General features: G+C 36.0%; 1 protein-coding gene across 6 annotated transcripts in view; it reads right to left on the bottom strand.

Annotated features, from left to right (window-relative positions):
* Window positions 1-18,819, bottom strand: part of CAMK4 (calcium/calmodulin dependent protein kinase IV) — a 271,304-nt gene that overhangs the window by 131,118 nt on the left and 121,367 nt on the right. The window lies entirely within an intron of this gene.

Genomic DNA, 18,819 nt, shown 5'->3' with positions numbered 1-18,819 from the left:
GTCCTTCATATGCAGGCCATTCAACTAGACCAAGCTTCAAGGCCTTTGCATTTGCTGTTCCCTCTTCCATCAGGCCTCTTTTTTCACTTGGTTCATTGAGAGTCACCTAGAGGCCTTTCCTGGCCACTCCATCAAAAGTAGTTACACACTAACACACATACAACATACACACATACACACACGGTGAGTCATACCATTCAATTTTTTATAACAGTCACAAAAAGCTATGTTATCATTTAGTTACTAATTCATCATCTATTTCTTCCATCGGAGCATGAGTTCTATGACAGAAAGGATCTTGTCTGTTTTCTACATATGCTATCTTTGGCGTTATTTACCAATACCTGGCATTTAATAACTTGTTAAATGAATGAATGAGGTATGGAGGCTGGTGATTGAATACAAAATGCTGGCAGCTCAAAGAAAAAAAATTCTGGTTTAACATTAAGCTTCAGTTAGATGAGATTAGAATTGGTTGGTCAGTTCTCATCCTGCCACTTAAGTCTACATGACATTTTTTCATGTTATTGACACCAGTGGAGTGGAGAATGTCTGTTTCAAAGAGCCTCTAGATTCTCTTTCAAGGTAAGTGAAGAACACTTGGAAAAATATAAATTATTAATGCACAGGTGAAGTTACTGACCTTCTAAATCCACTGCAGCAAGTACTGATACTCCTGCTCACTCTTCTCCCCCATTTCAGGCTATAGAGCTTTTATAGCTGCCAGATAGAAATCCCGTACTTTTCCTTCCAACAGCACACCTTGCGTTTAATTTGAGTGTTCCATCATTTGTATCAAACACAACCAGAGTGATTAAAAGAGAATGAAATGATAGAGATTAGAAAATGATAATGGTGAGAATTGGAATGTACTATCCATTCTCAAAGAAGCAACTATGATATCCTTGGTAAGCAGAAAAGAATTCTATGGATGTAGCTGTGGATATTTTGACTTGCCTCTGTGCCCTCCATGGGCACAGAGCCTGGCTGGGTCTTTACTCCTCATATTTCCCAAGAAGGTGCCAGCATCAGCATGGTCTTATGAAAAAGAAACTGATTAACAAAGAGAGAATTAATGTTAAGCCTCCCAAATTATTTTTTAAGATTCATGTTGTCAGGGATAGAAGGAAATCAACACATATTATATATTTTTCTAGAAGTATCATAGTCACATTTAAAAATATAGAAAATATAAAAAGAGTGAGGAATATATCCACCATTGTAACACAACTAATCATTAGCATTTTGGTTTATTTGTTTTCAGATATGTATGTATACTTCTTTTTACATTTTCAAATATAAAAATATTTGAAATTTTGTTATCTTTTACACAAAAACATAATAAAAATTTTATGAATATCTAATATCCATAAGCAGAATGTAAAACACCTTCCTAAGGCCCAATGTCATCAATGCCTAGCCCTAATGTTAGACATGAATGATTCCTTAAGATTTATTACTAATATATTCTATAATCAGCATCCTTGTCTGTACATTTTTTAAAGAATTCAATTTGAATCCTGGCTTGATCATTTAGAGTCTTTAATCAAGTCCCTTAATCTATATGAGGACTGCTTCAATTTCATCATGTGTAAAATGGGGATAATTGTTATTCTGGAATATTATTGTTTTAAGGATTGAATAAGAGTATGTGTGAAATTTCCTAGTCCCTGTGAAACGTTCACTAAATGTCAGTGCCTTTCCTAGAATGACTTTTCAAATCAAAGTGAGCATTTCTAATCTTCTGTTTCCAATTTTTTAATTCTTAACAGAGAAGGCACTACAATTGCAGCATACTAAATTTAGAAATATAGGGATTTATGAAAATGTTCCACCCCAGTCAGAGAAAGTATCTACTAAACATGAAACACAATTTTATTTTTATTGTTATTCTAAAAAATTTTCTAAAAGTGAATGACAACTTCATCAGAATCCTAAACTGTATCCTAATATAATCTTCCTGCCTGAGGTTAATCAAAAAGAAAACTAATGCCTATTTTCACTTAAATAAATGCCTTCTCTCACCTTTTCTGAAGACTAAGAGCTGCACTGTCCTGTTTAAACTTTAGGGAGGTTTTAAGACAATTTCATATGTTTACTAATCACTGTCAACCACCAGGGTCACATCTAAGTTGACCATAAACCTGGGTATCAACCATGTCCTTTATATATTCAAGTCTGACAGAGGTGTAATATACTCCGTCCTTTCTTCTTAGTGCCTTTTAGTAATTTTTATATGGTAAAGACAGTAATTTTGGTAATTTTTATGACCATTTCATATGACCAAGATTTTTAAATTATCAAGAAGCCATGAAAATAATGAAATATAGGTTTTCATTGTATATTATTTCAATCAAACAACAATGATTTATGTGCACAATTCCCAAACTTTAATTTGAGTGATTAAAGGGGCACAATATTATATACACTCAGAGACCCTGAGATATTCCTTTGATCTTTTCCTTGATCCTTAAAACTAAGTGATTTTCTATTAGTTACAAAGCCAAAAAAGCTTATGATTTTGTATACTGTTAAATAATAAAAATAAAAATAATACTCCTGAAAGTATTAACATTTTAAGCTTCATCAATTACATCTTAGGGTTCAATGGAAAAAATAAAAACCTGGATGCTCTTAGAAGAAAGCTTAGCTCACTGCCTATTCTTTCAAGGACAATTCAGACCTTTTTCAAAGAACCTGGCTAATGTTGTTCATGAATGCTAAAAACTTGGTGGAAAGAGAGGCTCTCACATGGTTCTTCTAGAGTTATTCATGACCAGAAAAGTACAGAAGAAATTAATGTTGAACCAAAAAATAATATAATCATACTCTTGGTTTAGAATGGGAAAGACAGAGATTCTAGAGATCTTAATGATTTGAGGTTTGATAAAAAAAATTTCTTTGTCAGTGTTGCCCCATAGCAATATATTCTTTCTAGATGTAGAAGTCTAGATTTTCTGAGGTAGCATTTTAACATGAATTGAACCCAGAGCTTCACTTTTCTCTGAAAGACCAGATAAACAAAAGTGTGTCAGCTCAGTCCTTCCCAGCATCTTTCTCCATACAGTGGTGTGCACATCCTCAAAGCACTCTCTCATCAGCATGTCTGTTAAGTCTCTTCTTCTGAGTAAAACTGCTCACAGTTTAAAAGCTTGTAAGAGTTAATTGGGTAGTATGCACACATTCCATGTTTATGCCCTATTATTTCTCCATCTCTGATATTTTCCAAGACTGTCCGGTTTCAAAGGATATGGTGGCCAAGGGGCTTGTGACCCCTGGACTGGTTTGGTCTCTGAGTGTGTGTTCAGTATTTATTGGCCTCTCCCATAGAGCCAGTGAGCACATGATCTGTCCCTAGTCATCTGTAGCTGTAGATTTCCTGACCTATCCAGGTCTCTACTGCAGACAGCATCTGGCAGTGGCCCTGGTATGTGGCCTCTTCATGCTCACCACGCTTCCCTGGGTTATCTAAGCCAGAGGCCAGTGGGAAATAACAGGGTAAGGAAAACATTGCTCTGAGAGACAGATGAACTCAATCTTCACCCTAAAGAAATACTTTTAAACTAAAAGAGACTCTTAAACAGGAATAAACTAAGATATCTTTGACTGGAAATTTTTAGTATGTTTTCCTCCCAGGTATCCAGTGATAGCAAGAGGAATTCAGGTTCAGAGTAAATGCTGTTGTAGAAAATAGAGGATACTGATACATTTTTTTGCAGATGTAAGTGTGGTGGGTAAATTTTGATTTGACACTCACCCACATTCCCCTCCATAAAAATACATCAAAATTTAAAAGATGAGGATGATAATCTTGGATCTGCTTTGATTTATCAATAAAAGGTATCATATACAGTTTATAGTACTTTATTATATATGCCACTCCTTGAAACTGATCAGGACACTCCATATGTCCTGATGGTAAAAACAGTTCTAGATTGTTCTGATCCTAAAATCTCAAAGAAAAATGCTGGGAGTGAAGATTAAAACTGGACTCCTTCCTTACACCATATACAAAAATAAACTCAAGATGGATTAAAGCCTTAAATGTAAAACCCAAAACTATAAAAACTCTGGAAGACAACCTAGGCAATACCATTCTGGACATAGGAATTGGCAAGGAATTCATGATGAAGATGCCAAAAGCAACTGCAACAAAAGCAAAAAATTGACAAATGTATCTAATAAAACTAAAGAGCAGAAGCTCTTTGCTGTGCTTCTGCACAGCAAAAGAAACTCTCAACAGAGTAAACAGACAACCTATAGAATGGAAGAAAATTTTTGCAAAGTACGCATCTGGCAAAGGTCTAATATCCTGAACTTAAAAACGTAATCAAATTTATAAGAAAAAAACAAAAAAACCCATTAAAAAGTGGGCAAAGGACATGAACAGACACTTTTCAAAAGAAGACATACCTGTGGCCAACAAGCATATGAATAAAAGCTTAACATCACTGATTATCAGAGAAACGAAAATCAAAACCACAATCAAATACCATCTCACACCAGTCACAATGGTTACTATTAGTCAAAAAAATCACAGATGCTGGTAAGGTTGTGGAGGAAAGGGAACACTCATACACTGTTGGTGGGAGTGTAAATTGGTTCAACCATTGTAGAAAGGAACTCTTCAAAAAGCTGAAAACAGAACTACCATTCAACTCAGCAATCCCATTACTGGGTATATGTCCAAAGGAATATAAATCATTCTGTTATAAAGATACATGCACACATATGTTCACTGCAGCACTGTTCACACTAGCTAATACATAGAATTAACCTAAATGTCCATCAATGGTAAACTGAATAAAGAAAATGTGGTACATATATACATAGAATACTATGCAGCCATAAAAAAGAATGAGATAATGTCCTTTGCAGGAACATGGATGGAGCTGAAGGCTGTTATCCCTAGGCCATTATCCAAACTAACACAGTAACAGAAAACTAAATACCGCATGTTCTCACTTATAAGTGGGAGCTAAATGATGGGAACATATGGACACAAACAACACATATTGCCACTGGGGCCTACCTGGAGGTGAAGGGTGGGAGGAGAGAGAGGAGCAGAAAAAATAACTATTGAGTACTAGGCTTAGTACCTGGGTGATGAAATAATCTGTACAACAAATCCCCATGACACGAGTTTACCTACATAACAAACCTGCATATGTATCCCCTGAACCTAAAATAAAAGTTAAAAAAAAAAAAAGAAAAATCCTGCCAGTGACAGATTGGTAGGTTGTGTCGGGGAAAAACATCCATCTAATGTGTTCTTTTAGATATAACTATCCATCTGATACTCTTCAACTTTGGGGTAGAGATAAGTATAGGTAACTTTAACTGAATTTATCCTGTGACATATTCTCACAGTAGGAAGGAAATTGGAATCTGACCCATATAGCCACACCTGTGTTCATACTGCATCCCACCTACCACTAAGACAAAGAGTTAAGAATCACATCAAGCCATGTGTGTAGTCTGTATATCTCACAGTTCCCAGTTGTTTTTCCTTCATTTGCCAGTGGATATTGTATGTGAGACTCACTAAACTCAGGTTTTAACAGAATTTGGCAAAGATAACATGTTGCTTGCATTCTCTGCACACATCGAATATTATTTGCCCATTCTTCACAGTGTAACTTACAAGCAGCACTCCGCTTCTCTGTGCCTGTGTCAATAAAGGCTTAATCATCCTTTATCAGGTAAATAAGGAGAAACATCTAGTTTTAGTCCCAAATCTGGACCAAAATCATTCCTGATTGAATTCTTTTTTGCCTTTGTCTCTATCAGGGCCTTCATGGCATCTATAAAAAATGCCCAGATTTGGAATTCAAAAGCCCTGAGTTCTAGAATACATGCTATTGTGTATTTTGAACATGACACTTCTCTAAGACTCTCATAAGAAAAATACTTCCTTGGGGAGCTTTGTGTTAACATGTGAAAGCGGCACTACATTACATAGTGTTTAACAATTCAGTGTGGGTTCCATTCTTATTAGCATTATGCTCCTTTACCGTTAAAGTGAGTGACATGACATATGGTGAGTTGTGAGTACTTAATTTTAAAAAACGTTGAAAACTAATTCAGTACTGAAAACTATATGGATCTCTTTTAATTAGTATCCTCTGTACATAGTTCATTTCCCCTCTTCTAGAAAATAAATGGTTTTGGAGTTCCATGACTTGATCTTTTTAGCTTTCTTTTCGTCCTGTTTACAGTGACTGGATATATGCAACTCTGGCCACCATTCAACTTTTTGTACCATAAAAAAATACAAATTAAAATTTATTAACACATTTTTCCCTGTTAACTCTAAGATGATAGCTTTCCCCTTCTCACTAAGGTATGAATCCTAAGTCTGCTTTGAGGCTGATAGCCTGTGTCCTTCTGGCTCTCTCAGCTCTCCTGGTTGTGGTCCATTGGACAGCACTCTCCAGCTTTGATCTCCTGACCCTGAGCTTCTCTCAACTTTCCTAGTGCCCCAGCAGCTCCCCTTTGGTAACAAGGCATTTACCACTGAGCTCTCTGAGAAGTTCTTAAACTCCTGCTTCTACCAGAGTGAAGTAACATAAGCTCTCCTTCTGAGGTTTCCTCTGTTTTTAGTTGGTTATATATCTCCTTTTTCTGCTCCATAGATTCCATTTAAAGAGTGAAAATCACTTTAGTTCCAATTGCCCAATGCTTATAAAAGTACTAAGGGGTTAAATGTCATAATTTGAGTGGATGGCATACCAGCAAAGTAAATTCATCTTTTGGGCAACAGCACTCAGGCCTGTTGGTGCTCTAGCTCATGGTCTGTCTGTCTGTCTGTCTCTCTCTCTCTGTCTTTCTGTCTCTCTCATCAGCCTGCTTTTGAATTATAGTGTTTGTTTTCTAAAAGGCAACAAAATATCTAAACGAGATTGATATAATGAGAAGATGAACAAGAATGCCTCAGAAATAACGCCGCATATCTACAACTATCTGATCTTTGACAAACCTGACAAAAACAAGAAATGGGGAAAGGATTCCCTATTTAATAAATGGTGCTGGCAAAACTGGCTAGCCATATGTAGAAAGCTGAAACTGGATCCCTTCCTTACACCTTATACAAAAATTAATTCAAGATGGATAAAAGACTTACATGTTAGACCTAAAACCATAAAAACCCTAGAAGAAAACCTAGGCAATACCATTCAGGACACAGGCATGGGCAAGGACTTCATGTCTAAAACACCAAAAGCAATGGTAACAAAAGCCAAAATTGACAAATGGGATCTAATTAAACTAAAGAGCTTCTGCACAGCAAAAGAAACTACCATCAAAGTGAACAGGCAACCTACAAAATGGGAGAAAATTTCCGCAACCTACTCATCTGACAAAGGGCTAATATCCAGAATCTACAATGAACTCAAACAAATTTACAAGAAAAAAACAAACAACCCCATCAAAAAGTGGGCGAAGGATATGAACAGACACTTCTCAAAAGAAGACATTTATGCAGCCAAAAGACACATGAAAAAATGCTCATCATCACTGGCCATCAGAGAAATGCAAATCAAAACCACAATGGGATACCATCTCACACCAGTTAGAATGGCAATCATTAAAAAGTCAGGAAACAACAGGTGCTGGAGAGGATGTGGAGAAATAGGAACACTTTTACACTGTTGGTGGGACTGTAAACTAGTTCAACCATTGTGGAAGTCAGTGTGGTGATTCCTCAGGGATCTAGAACTAGAAATACCATTTGACCCAGCCATCCCATTACTGGGTATATACCCAAAGGCCTATAAATCATGCTGCTATAAAGACACATGCACACGTATGTTTATTGCGGCATTATTCACAATAGCAAAGACTTGGAACCAACCCAAATGTCCAACAATGATAGACTGGATTAAGAAAATGTGGCACATATACACCATGGAATACTATGCAGCCATAAAAAATGATGAGTTCATGTCCTTTGTAGGGACATGGATGAAATTGGAAATCATCATTCTCGGTAAACTATCGCAAGGACAAAAAACCAAACACCACATGTTCTCACTCATAGATGGGAATTGAACAATGAGAGCACATGGACACAGGAAGGGGAACATCACACTCTGGGGACTGTTGTGGGGTGTGGGGAGGGGGGAGGGATAGCATTAGGAGATATACCTAATGCTAAATGACGAGTTAATGGGTGCAGCACACCAGCATGGCACATGTATACATATGTAACTAACCTGCACATTGTGCACATGTACCCTAAAACTTAAAGTATAATAAAATAAATAAATAAATAAATAAATAAAAAGAATGCAGAATTGTAATAAATTCCACCAATGTTTATGTCAATAAAGAAAATGCATCAAATCATAACAATGCTCTGGAAGAATGTTCTGACTTTCAAGTATATTCTTGAATGGTAAAGCATACAAATCAGGCCAAGATTTAACATTCCTCCCTGTCACCTTTGCTCTCTTATATACATATTCTTGTCACAAACTGGATAGAAATATTCCTGTTCCTATTCCAGGAGACCTGGTTTGATAGTCCCTATGAAAATCAATAGGTTCCAACTGACAGAATCCTTGAAGAAGTTTCACTTCACTTGACACGGCTCATTGTCTGAAAGCTACTTTCCTTAATGTGTTCTGAGATCTCAATTGGCCCCAAAAAGTCTATTTGAGCTGGTGATTTATTATTCTCTTATCCATCACTGACCAAGGTGACCCTGCCTGTACTTCCAGAGCACATCAGTAAGAAGTTAAAAGTGGCCAATAGCAGCATACAATAGATGCATATCTTTCATCCAGATTGAACCATCCATCCCTCTTATGTACATCATAGCAATTAGAAAATGCATGGCTCATTGTCAGTTTTCCATGTTTCCAAAGTTTAGGCAGAAAAAGACAGAGCAGGGAATCTCCATTCTGCATCCTGAGTCTGCCTGGTTGAGGGCACAGTGGCAAAGTGTAGAGGATCTCCCTGGAGAGGTTGGTGGTTCCTACTCACTAAGGTGTGAGAGGCTACATAAGCTTCCTCCTCTTGGCCCAAAGGAGTCTTATTTATTTTGTAATTTTTATTTACTTATTTATTTTTGAGACAGAGTCTCGCTCTGTTGCCCAGGCTGGAGTTCTCAGCTCACTGCAACCTCCATCTCCCGGGTTCAAGTGATTCTCCTGCCTCAGCCTCCCAAGTAGCTATTTTTCAGCTTTATAGTGGTAAAACTGAGAAATAAAAATTACACACATTTAGTGTACAATGTGACGTTCTGATGTACGCATTGCAAAATGATTGCCACAATCAAGCTAATTAACAAATCCATCACCTCACGTAGTTTTTTTTTTTTTGTGGTGAGAATATTTAACATTTACTCCTAGAAAATTTCAAGTATACCAACACAGTGTTATTAATTATACTTCCCATACTATACATTTGATCTTTGGAAATTATTCATTTTACACAACTGAAAGTTTGTACCCTTTGACCTACATACCTCCATTTCCTCCTGCACTCAATCCCTGATAATCATCCTTCTACTCTCTCTGAGTTCAACTTTTTAAATTACACATGTAATTTGTAATTTGACTTTGTGTCCAGTATTTGACTTTGTGTCCAGCATATTTCACTTAGCATAGTGTCCTCCAAGATCATTCATGTTGTCGCAATTGGCAGGATTATTTTTTCCTTCTTAAGGTTATCCATACCACATTTTCTCATTCATCTTTTGACAGACAGAAGCTGTTTCCTCATCTTAGCTGTTGTGAATAACGCTATAATGAAATAGCAGTACAACTACCTCTTTAATATATTGACCTTATTTCCTTTGGATTCACTGGAATTTTGATAGGGATTGCACAGAATCTGTAGATCACTTTGGGTAGTACTGACACTTTGGCAATATTAATTCTTTCACTCCATGAACTAACCTTTCCATTTATTTGTGTGCTTTCAGTTTCTTTCATCAATGTTTTACAGTTTTCAGAGTACAGATCTTTCACCTCCTTAAATTTATTCCTAAGCATTTTAAGTTTTTGATGCTGTCATAAAAGAGATTGTTTTCTTAATTTCTTTTTCAGATAGTTTGTTGTTAGTGTATAGAAATGTAACTTATTTTTGTACCTCATTTATATATTCTGAAACTTTACTGAAATGATTTATCAGTTCTTATGTAGTTCTTTTGTGGAGTCTTTAGAGTTTTCTATATTTAAAATCATATAATCTACAGAGACAATTTTACTTCTACCAAGAATTCTCATTTAAATGCTGCTCAAACTATTTACAGGTATTTTTTCCTACTGTTATTTTTCCTCCTTTATTCGTTGACACATCTAGCTACTTTCCTTGGAGGATGATAATAACATCCATATAGCAAGGACCTCAAGCAGTCACATATTAATATATGTAGTTTTCACTTGGTGAGACAGAAAAAAAAAAGTGAAATCAGACAAATCCATTTCCAGAACCTCGCTCTGTATTTACTATCTCGGTGGTTGTGGGTAGCTAGCCTCTCTGAGCCTCAGAAACCAAGACTGACCTTACAAAGACCATGTGAGGAAACATGAGATTATTTATTTTTGCATGCAACACATTTTTATTGCAATAGTGTATGTAAAGTTCCTGGCACACAGTGATTGCTCAATATATTGTAGTTATTACCATTTCAGATTCTGTATTTAGGTACCTGGCTTTCTATAAACCATATACTCTGTGCATTACCTCCAACCGCACCTACCCTTATCACTGAGAAACTGTTTCCTATAGCAGGTGATGCAAAATGAGGAATGGGGAACAATTTCATAAAGTCTGTGTCAATTTTGCACTCCCATCCATAGAATGTGAGGGAATCCTTTTCCCAAATCCTGGGCAAAGCTAGATATTTTTATTCTTTGTTTAGTTAGTAGTGGTATGGTTTGTCTGTGTTCCCCAAAGTTCATGTATTGGAAATTTGATCCTCAATGCTGTGGTGTTGAAAGGTGGGGCCTAAAGGGAGGTGTTTGGATGATGGTGCACCATTCCCATGAATGGATTAATGCTCTTATTGCAAGAGTAGTTCCCTTATAAAAGCATGAGTTTGGTACCCTCTTTCTTTCTCTCTCTTTCCCCCTCTCCCCTTCCCTCCCTCCCTCTCCCTCTCTCTCTCTCTCTCTCTCTCTCTGCTATTCTGCCATGAGTTGACACAGGAAGAAGCCCCTCACCACATGCTGGCCCCTTGATTTTGGACTTCTCAGCCTCCTCCAGAACTGAACCAGTAAATTTGTGCTCATTATAAATGATTCAGTCTGTGATGTTATGTTATAGCAGCACAAAACAAACTAACATAGTAGTAAAAAGTATTGTCTTATTAATTTAAGGTTATTTTTATTGTTAATGGCTATAAAATATCATTTTAATGTTTTCTAAGAAGTATCTTTCCAAATATTTTGCCATTTGTGAACAGCATGAGTTTGAACAAGATATTGACCCTTAGTTTTCTCACCTTGAAATTGAGAATCCACCAGTCTCTGACACATTATAAACATTCAATAAATAATAGCTATTTTCATTTTTTATTTGGGCTTTGGTGCTTTTCTTAATTGATTTCTACATACTTTTATATCATTAAGGCTATCAACACTTGGCAAGTTGGTGATTGCTATGGACTAAGTATTTGTGTCCCCTGAAAATTCACATTGAAGCCTAAATCCCCAATGATAGCATTTGGAGATGGGCCTTGGGGAGATAATTAGATAATGAGGGTAGAGCCCTCATGATAGGATTAGCACGCTTATATGAAGAGACAAAAGAGAGTTTACTTCCTCTCTACTCTTTTGAATTTGAACTCACAGTGAGAAGATAGTCTTCTGTAAGCCAAAAAGAGTGCCCTCATCAAACACCAAATCTGCTGTCACCTTGACCTTGGACTTCTCAGCCTCCAGAACTGTGAAAAATAAATTTCTATCGTATAAGCCACCAAGTTCGTGTTATTCAATCTCTTGGAGACGCATCTATAAAATAATGATAGCACCTACCTCACAAAGTATGACATATTATTTTTATGAGTACCATTTTAAAATCATGAAGTGACTTAAAATTCCAAGTTGTGGCCAGGAGTGGTGGCTCACGCCTATAATCCCAGCACTTTGGGAGGCCGAGGCAGGTGGATCACCTGAGGTCAGGAGTTCGAGACCAGTCTGGCCAATACGGTGAAACCCCATCTCTACTAAAAAAAAAAATACAAAAATTAGCCGGGTGTGGTGGCATGCACCTGTAATCTCAGCTACTAAGGAGGCTGAGGCAGGAGAATCGCTTGAACCTGGGAGGCAGAGGTTGCAGTGAGCCAAGATGGCGCCATCACACTCCAGCATGTACAACAAAAGCGAAACTCTGTCTCAAAAAAAAAAAAAGAAAAAGAAAAAGAAAATTCCAAGTTGCCAGTTTCCTTGTAAAGAGATATGCACACATGTGTACCTGTGTGTAAAAAGACTGGTGGATGTGGGAGCTAATGTCTGTCAATTGGCCAGTGCTCATCACTTGGCCAGTTAATACAGTACATCTAGATTCAAACATAGTTCTCTATACAAATGTAGTATATTCTTCCTAAAGAAATCTTCTGGGGAAGTTGACATGAGATGTAAAAGTTACAAAGAAAAAGAAGGCTAGAACAGAGAACAGAGCCCACATTTGAAGAATGCCTAATATATGCCAGGCAATATACATGCACATATATAAAAATATATAAAACTTCAAGTAATCCTCAGTTTACCCAGTGGTATAAATGGTGTTATCCCCATTTTAAAACTGAGAAATCTGAAAATCTCTAATGGAGACATCCTGGAGATTCATCTACCAAGAAATTGGAACAAAGCCTATGTAGTCTGTAACTTAATCTTCAGATTGCCCTGCAACATCATAGTTATATACTCAAATGCTAACTCATAAGAATGTAAGGACAAATAAATGGAAGTTAAAAACCAACTCACAGAATGATTAACAAATCACAATGTGTGCTTCTTTGATTAACTGAGAAGAGAATAAAAAAATCAAACCAACATTTATGGAAAATTTTGTAGAATTTTGAGACATTTGCTAGGTGAATGTTCATTAAATTACTCAAGCAAAACCTTTCCAGAACTTTACTGGTATTATAATAACTAAAATATACAAAAATTAGACCTGGAACCGTTTTTCTATTGTAGATCTAGGCACACTGCTCCAAAGTAAGAATCACACAGAAAAGAGCTTAGGGTTGAAAGTGTTCTAAATCTAGGTATTATAGGCATCCGAGATGTACCTAAGTAGAAGGTCACAGGATGGGAAATCCTTATTGTGTGCCACATTACATTTTATTGATAGCAATAAGAGAATATGTATCCATTTTCAGCAGTAATTTCAAAAGTACTCCAAAACCAATGTAGTTAATTTTGTTCATAGAGAAGTATGTAAAAATCGTCTGTGCTACTCACTGTTTGACTTTAAATCAAGCTAATGAGAACATTAAAATTATATAGAATGAACTGGTACTCTTATGAAATATCTGTGTGAACACATTGCAATTAATAAGAATAATGTTCATCATGTATATTACATGCTTCCTATGTGGTGGGAAATATTTATTTTAATCTTTAGTAGAACACTCTGACCTAGATACTCTTAAACCCATTTTAAAGATGAAAAAACAGATTGAGAGATATTCTATAACTTCTAAAGTCACACAATCAGTAAGTAGCAGAAGTAATCCTAAACTCAGTCTGTCTGGCACCACAGACCACAACATCACCCCACTACTACATAGCAATTTTTAAGGAGAGTCAGAATACCTAGAAATTATGATTTTACACACGGAGATTAGATCTCAGACTCAATACTAGGTATTTCATGAGAGGCATGTATTTTATAGTTAGATTAATACAAGCTTTTCCAAGAGTTGAGCTACATAGTTAGAAATTTCATCTGAATTCTGAAGTTCAAATATCTGTTTCCAAAATTCTAGAGATACTATAAATTATTGGTGGAGCATAATTTTCTTAAATCTCAATCAGTTCTCCTTGAAAATAAGTCACATTTATAGTCTGACATGTCATTTAGATACACTCTGAGGTATATACTCCTAAGGAAGAAAGATAAACTATAATTCATGTGAATTACTCCTGAAATAGAGACTCCATCATCATAATGATGTCATTCTTCAAAAGCTGGCATTCTATTTAACTCAGCAGAGTTCAGTCCAGTTTGAAGTTTCCAACTGCTTAATTTGTTCAAATTTTGACACTTTCTCGAATTTATTTTTTTCCTTTGATATAGTTTTAAGTTCATCATTTAACAACAATAAAAAGGTTACATCTTATAAAACACTGGTTGTCCCCACTAGCCATGTCTGTCAAAATCCCTTAAAGACCCAAAGTAACTTAATAAAATCTTTCTACTCTACTTCAAATATCACATACAGTGGATATACTGAAGGGCTTATGCATGAAAGAAAAAAGTTAGCCTTGTTTCCTTCACCCTTGATTCATGCTTTACAAACTACAAAGTTAAATTTCCACCGATAATCACAAGCAAATTAGACAATATATACAAGATAATGTAGCATGCATGGGGAACAAAAATGGCACTTAGGCCATCCCCACACAAGAGGAGAGGATGAATGTCATGTCTAGGGAATTGATGACTTCTTCAGTACAAGAATCACTAATACTAAGTGGAAAAAAAGGAAACAAACAACCCAAAAGGCACTTCAATCCATTTTCCTCTCTTGTTTACAGTTAACACCATGAAAGCTTTATCCTCATTAATGGCACAATGAGACAAATGGATATTGTTACAGGAAATATCCAGGGTTTTTTCAATACAATAAAAAGTGGTTCAGTTATCATTTTCTATTTTCTGGCACTTCAATACATTTATAACAGTGAGTCACTGATGTTTGTCATAACATTTAGAGAGTGCAAGATCTTGAAATGCTTTCTGAATAGCCAGAAGAAATGCTCAATTATGCGAACAGGGTCTCAATGTTGAATTATGTTTCTCCACAGACTTCTCATTATGAGAAAGCTCACGTATCTGAAATGTTGAAATACCAGAATGAATAATAATATACTACAATAATTGTTTAGTTTTGCCATATTTGATTTTCCTCTCTCCCCCAACCTGTGCATACACAAACCATTTTTTTTGTTGTTGTTTAACCATTTGAAAGTAAATTGCAGACTTTATGATGCTGGCTGATATGTAATTTAATGCATTCCAATTCTTTGAAATATAGGTCTCTATATATTAAATACATGATGTTATACCCATTTATAAAATATATATTAACTTAAAACATGTCTCATGTTATAATTACCTGTTAATTTATCACAAGGATATTTTACTATCCATAGTATCCAGTTATCTAAACATGACAATTCACTGTATGTTAATTATCAGTGTTGACTCTGTCCTGCACCTGACCACCATAAGATTTCTCCACAAGAGCTGGTGCTTTAACCTGTATTCCTATGGATAAGTCAGCGCATTCATCTACTAAAACCCAGATATTTGAGTACTTAATGGAATCTCATTGAAGCTCAGGGTTTTTTATGGAAAAATATGTCTCATTGCTAGTGTAAACTAAATTCTTCCTAATTATTTTATTAAGCTATGAGAGAAGACCTTCATATTGCCGCAAAATGGAATTTGGGTAAACTCCCATGGAAAAATGTTTAAACAGATCCTGACAAAGAAGATTCATGTTATCAAAAATTTAGCTGTAAAAGAGAATTTTAAAAGTCTCTCACTTTAAGTCTGAGACAGTCTGAGGAAATCTTTCTCGGACTTAAAAATATTTATACATTAAATTATTTATAAATTAGATGGGTTTCCTTATTAACTTTCTTAAATGTGATATGTTTCACTCATCTTCAAATAAAATATTGAATGGAATATTTTGAAATTCATCTTAGAGGTCCTCCCTTACAGACAGAGTAGAATTAAATCTCCCTCAAAACAGACATTATCCTAACTCCCAGTACCTTAGAATGTGACCTTATTTGGAAATTGTGTTGTTGCAGATACAATTAGTTTAATTAAGATTAGGTCATACTGGAGTAGGGTGGGTCCCTAATCCAAGAGGACTGGTGTTTTTATAAGAAGAGAGAAATCTGGACAGGGATGTGCACAGAGGTAAGATGATATAAAGACACACAGGGAGAAGATGGCCATGTGACATTGTGAGAGGGAGCAGAGACCCCACTTAGGGGACTGCCAGTCTCCCCTGGCCCCCTAGCATGGAGATAAAAGAAAAATTTTGAGTTCCTTCTAGGGAGATTTCAGGCATCTAGCTAGCCCTGCCACAAGCAATTTGAAAAGTAAATATAAATAATCCACTAATTAAAAAGGTAATAATAGCTTAAACGATTGTCATTCAAGTAAGTTAGAGTCACAAGATGTTTGGTTCCTTATAGAAATTAAAGATAGCATCTCATATCCTTGAGCTGTTATTCAGAAACCTTGACCCTCACCAGATGAAAAATGCCAACCACTGTCATGTAGACCTCAGATAAGGAGGAACTAAGAAGTGAATGCTGACTACTGTCCTTATTCTAAATTTCTTCCTTGAAAGCCTGTAGAGTCATGCCCAAAGGCTAGATCTTAACATTCCTTTCTTCTGACCCCAAGTTTTTAGACAAAACATTGCTTCCTTAACCAACTGTAAATCAAAGAATCTTAGAACCCACCTGTTTGTAAGCCTCTACTTTAAGATACTCCCACCTTTTGGGGCCAAACCAATGCATAACCTCCATATATTGATTTATGATTTTGCCTGTTACTTCTGCTTTCCTGAAATGTACCCTTACCTTTCATAGTGTACCCGTGCTCATAAGCCATCGGGGAGTTTGGGTCTTAAGCGTGAGTTGCCTGATTCTCCTTGTTTGTCACCCTGCAATAAACGCCTCACTTTCTCTCACTACAAGTCCTGGTGTTAGTGTTTTTGTTTGTTTGTTTGTTTGTTTTGCACACTGGGTGAGCTGACTCAAGTTTGGTTTAGTAACAATTGGAGGCAGATATTAGAATGATGACCTACAAGTCAAGGAATGCCACAGATTTCTGGCTGTCACCAGAAGCTAGGAGAGAGGCATGGAAAAGATCTTCTCTCAGAGCCCTAAGATGGAACCAACCCTGCCAGCTCTGTGATTTTGGACTTCTTGCCTCCACAATTGTAAGAGAATAAATTTATATTCTTTTAAGTCATCTAGTTTGTGGTAGTTTATTGGACCAGCTCTAGAAAAACAAGATGGTTGGAAATAGATAGATGGATGGAGATAGATAGATAGATAGATAGATAGATAGATAAAGTTTCAAGCCTCTTGGGCTTAGGGCTAGTCATAAAATGAGGACTGAAGAAACCATCCATTGAAGTAATATAGTAGTCCCAAAGTTGTTAGTTGGACCACATAAAATTGCCATTTTTGAAGGCCAAGAAATAAGTAAAAAATTGCATTAATAAAGGCAATTTTATGTGGTTGAGCTTAATAGATTACATAAATAATTCAAGTTTTCTGAACCCTTTTGTTTTTTTTCCTCAGGAGCAGACCCCTTGGCTGAATTCTCTAAGAAAACATTTTCCCCACATCACTTTTCCTCTATAAACAGATTCTTAGGCTTCATTCATTTCCTTTAGACAAGGAAGTTTCAGTCTCCGTGACCTATATGGAATGAAACGCTAGAGGCAACTGGTCTTTGAGGTTTTGTCTGCTATTTCTCTCGTTTACACATCTCTGTGCATGATTTATCCTAGGAGACAATACTGGGGATTCTATCTAATTCACATTCAAAGCTGAGGTTTTTCCAGGGCATTTTCTCTCATTCCATTTGGCACAGTAGTAACTGTGTTTGACAACATCTGCCTTACAGCACCATTCTGCAGCTCCATCTGACACTTCATTCTCGTTCACATGCTCTTCCTGCCTGTCTTCTGAGGGAGATGTTTTCACAACAGCGAGAAGACAGTAAGGACGAACCAGAGCGGCACTTGCCCAACGAATATACGTCATGAACCCACCAAATGGCTTCACTGACCTCCTTCTCCAATTTATCCAAAGACTTTTGACATAAGCCAGCCTTTAAACCAGCCTGTTGCCCTTGGGGATTCTTGAGCATTCACATGTAATTTCTAAGTATTTATTTCCTAGACTTTCATATGTCTCTTCCCTCTCAAAGTTTCCTCAACTATGAAAAACAAATAGCCCTTCACAAATTTTACTGACAGTTTTTTAACCAATAAGAAATCGTACAAACAAGTCCTAAAACATCTTGTGTGTGACTACTGCTAAAATATGCCGTTTTATTTTCATACAAACTAAATATTTAACAGGAAATTCTATTTCATAAAAGTTTTAATAATCCTTACTTCAGATAAATTTTATGACTGTAAGAAACTAAATTAAGGGAAAATTCCAAATCTTATCAATCAACAGATTCCTCTACATTCTGGAATAAGTTAAATCATTGCCTACACCAAACAGAAAATTCAGAATATAGAATTCATTAGTAGCAAGTGCCATTGAAATTATTACTGACTTTCATTAAATTGTTTTTGTTATTTTGCTATGACTGTAAATTCTAACAGATTGTTTAAAAATATCATTCTATTTCTATTTAGCTGAAAACCTTGTAGTATTATGCTCTTCATTATATGAGATTCTAAAATTTCCCTGTGCCAGACAATACATAAACAGCTGGTAATTTTAAGCTGCCTTGAGGAAAAAAAATTCCTTGGCCTAAAAATGTATTTGACTTCAAAATTTATGATACTTCTCAGCATACTTTACAACTGGGTTTTCATATATATACATACATTTCACATATTTGTTCACATGAAATTTG

The sequence above is a fragment of the Homo sapiens genome, chromosome 5 (genome assembly GCF_000001405.40).
Source record: "Homo sapiens chromosome 5, GRCh38.p14 Primary Assembly".
Taxonomy (NCBI): Eukaryota; Metazoa; Chordata; class Mammalia; order Primates; family Hominidae; genus Homo; species Homo sapiens.
This window is presented reverse-complemented; position numbering and strand designations above follow the sequence as displayed.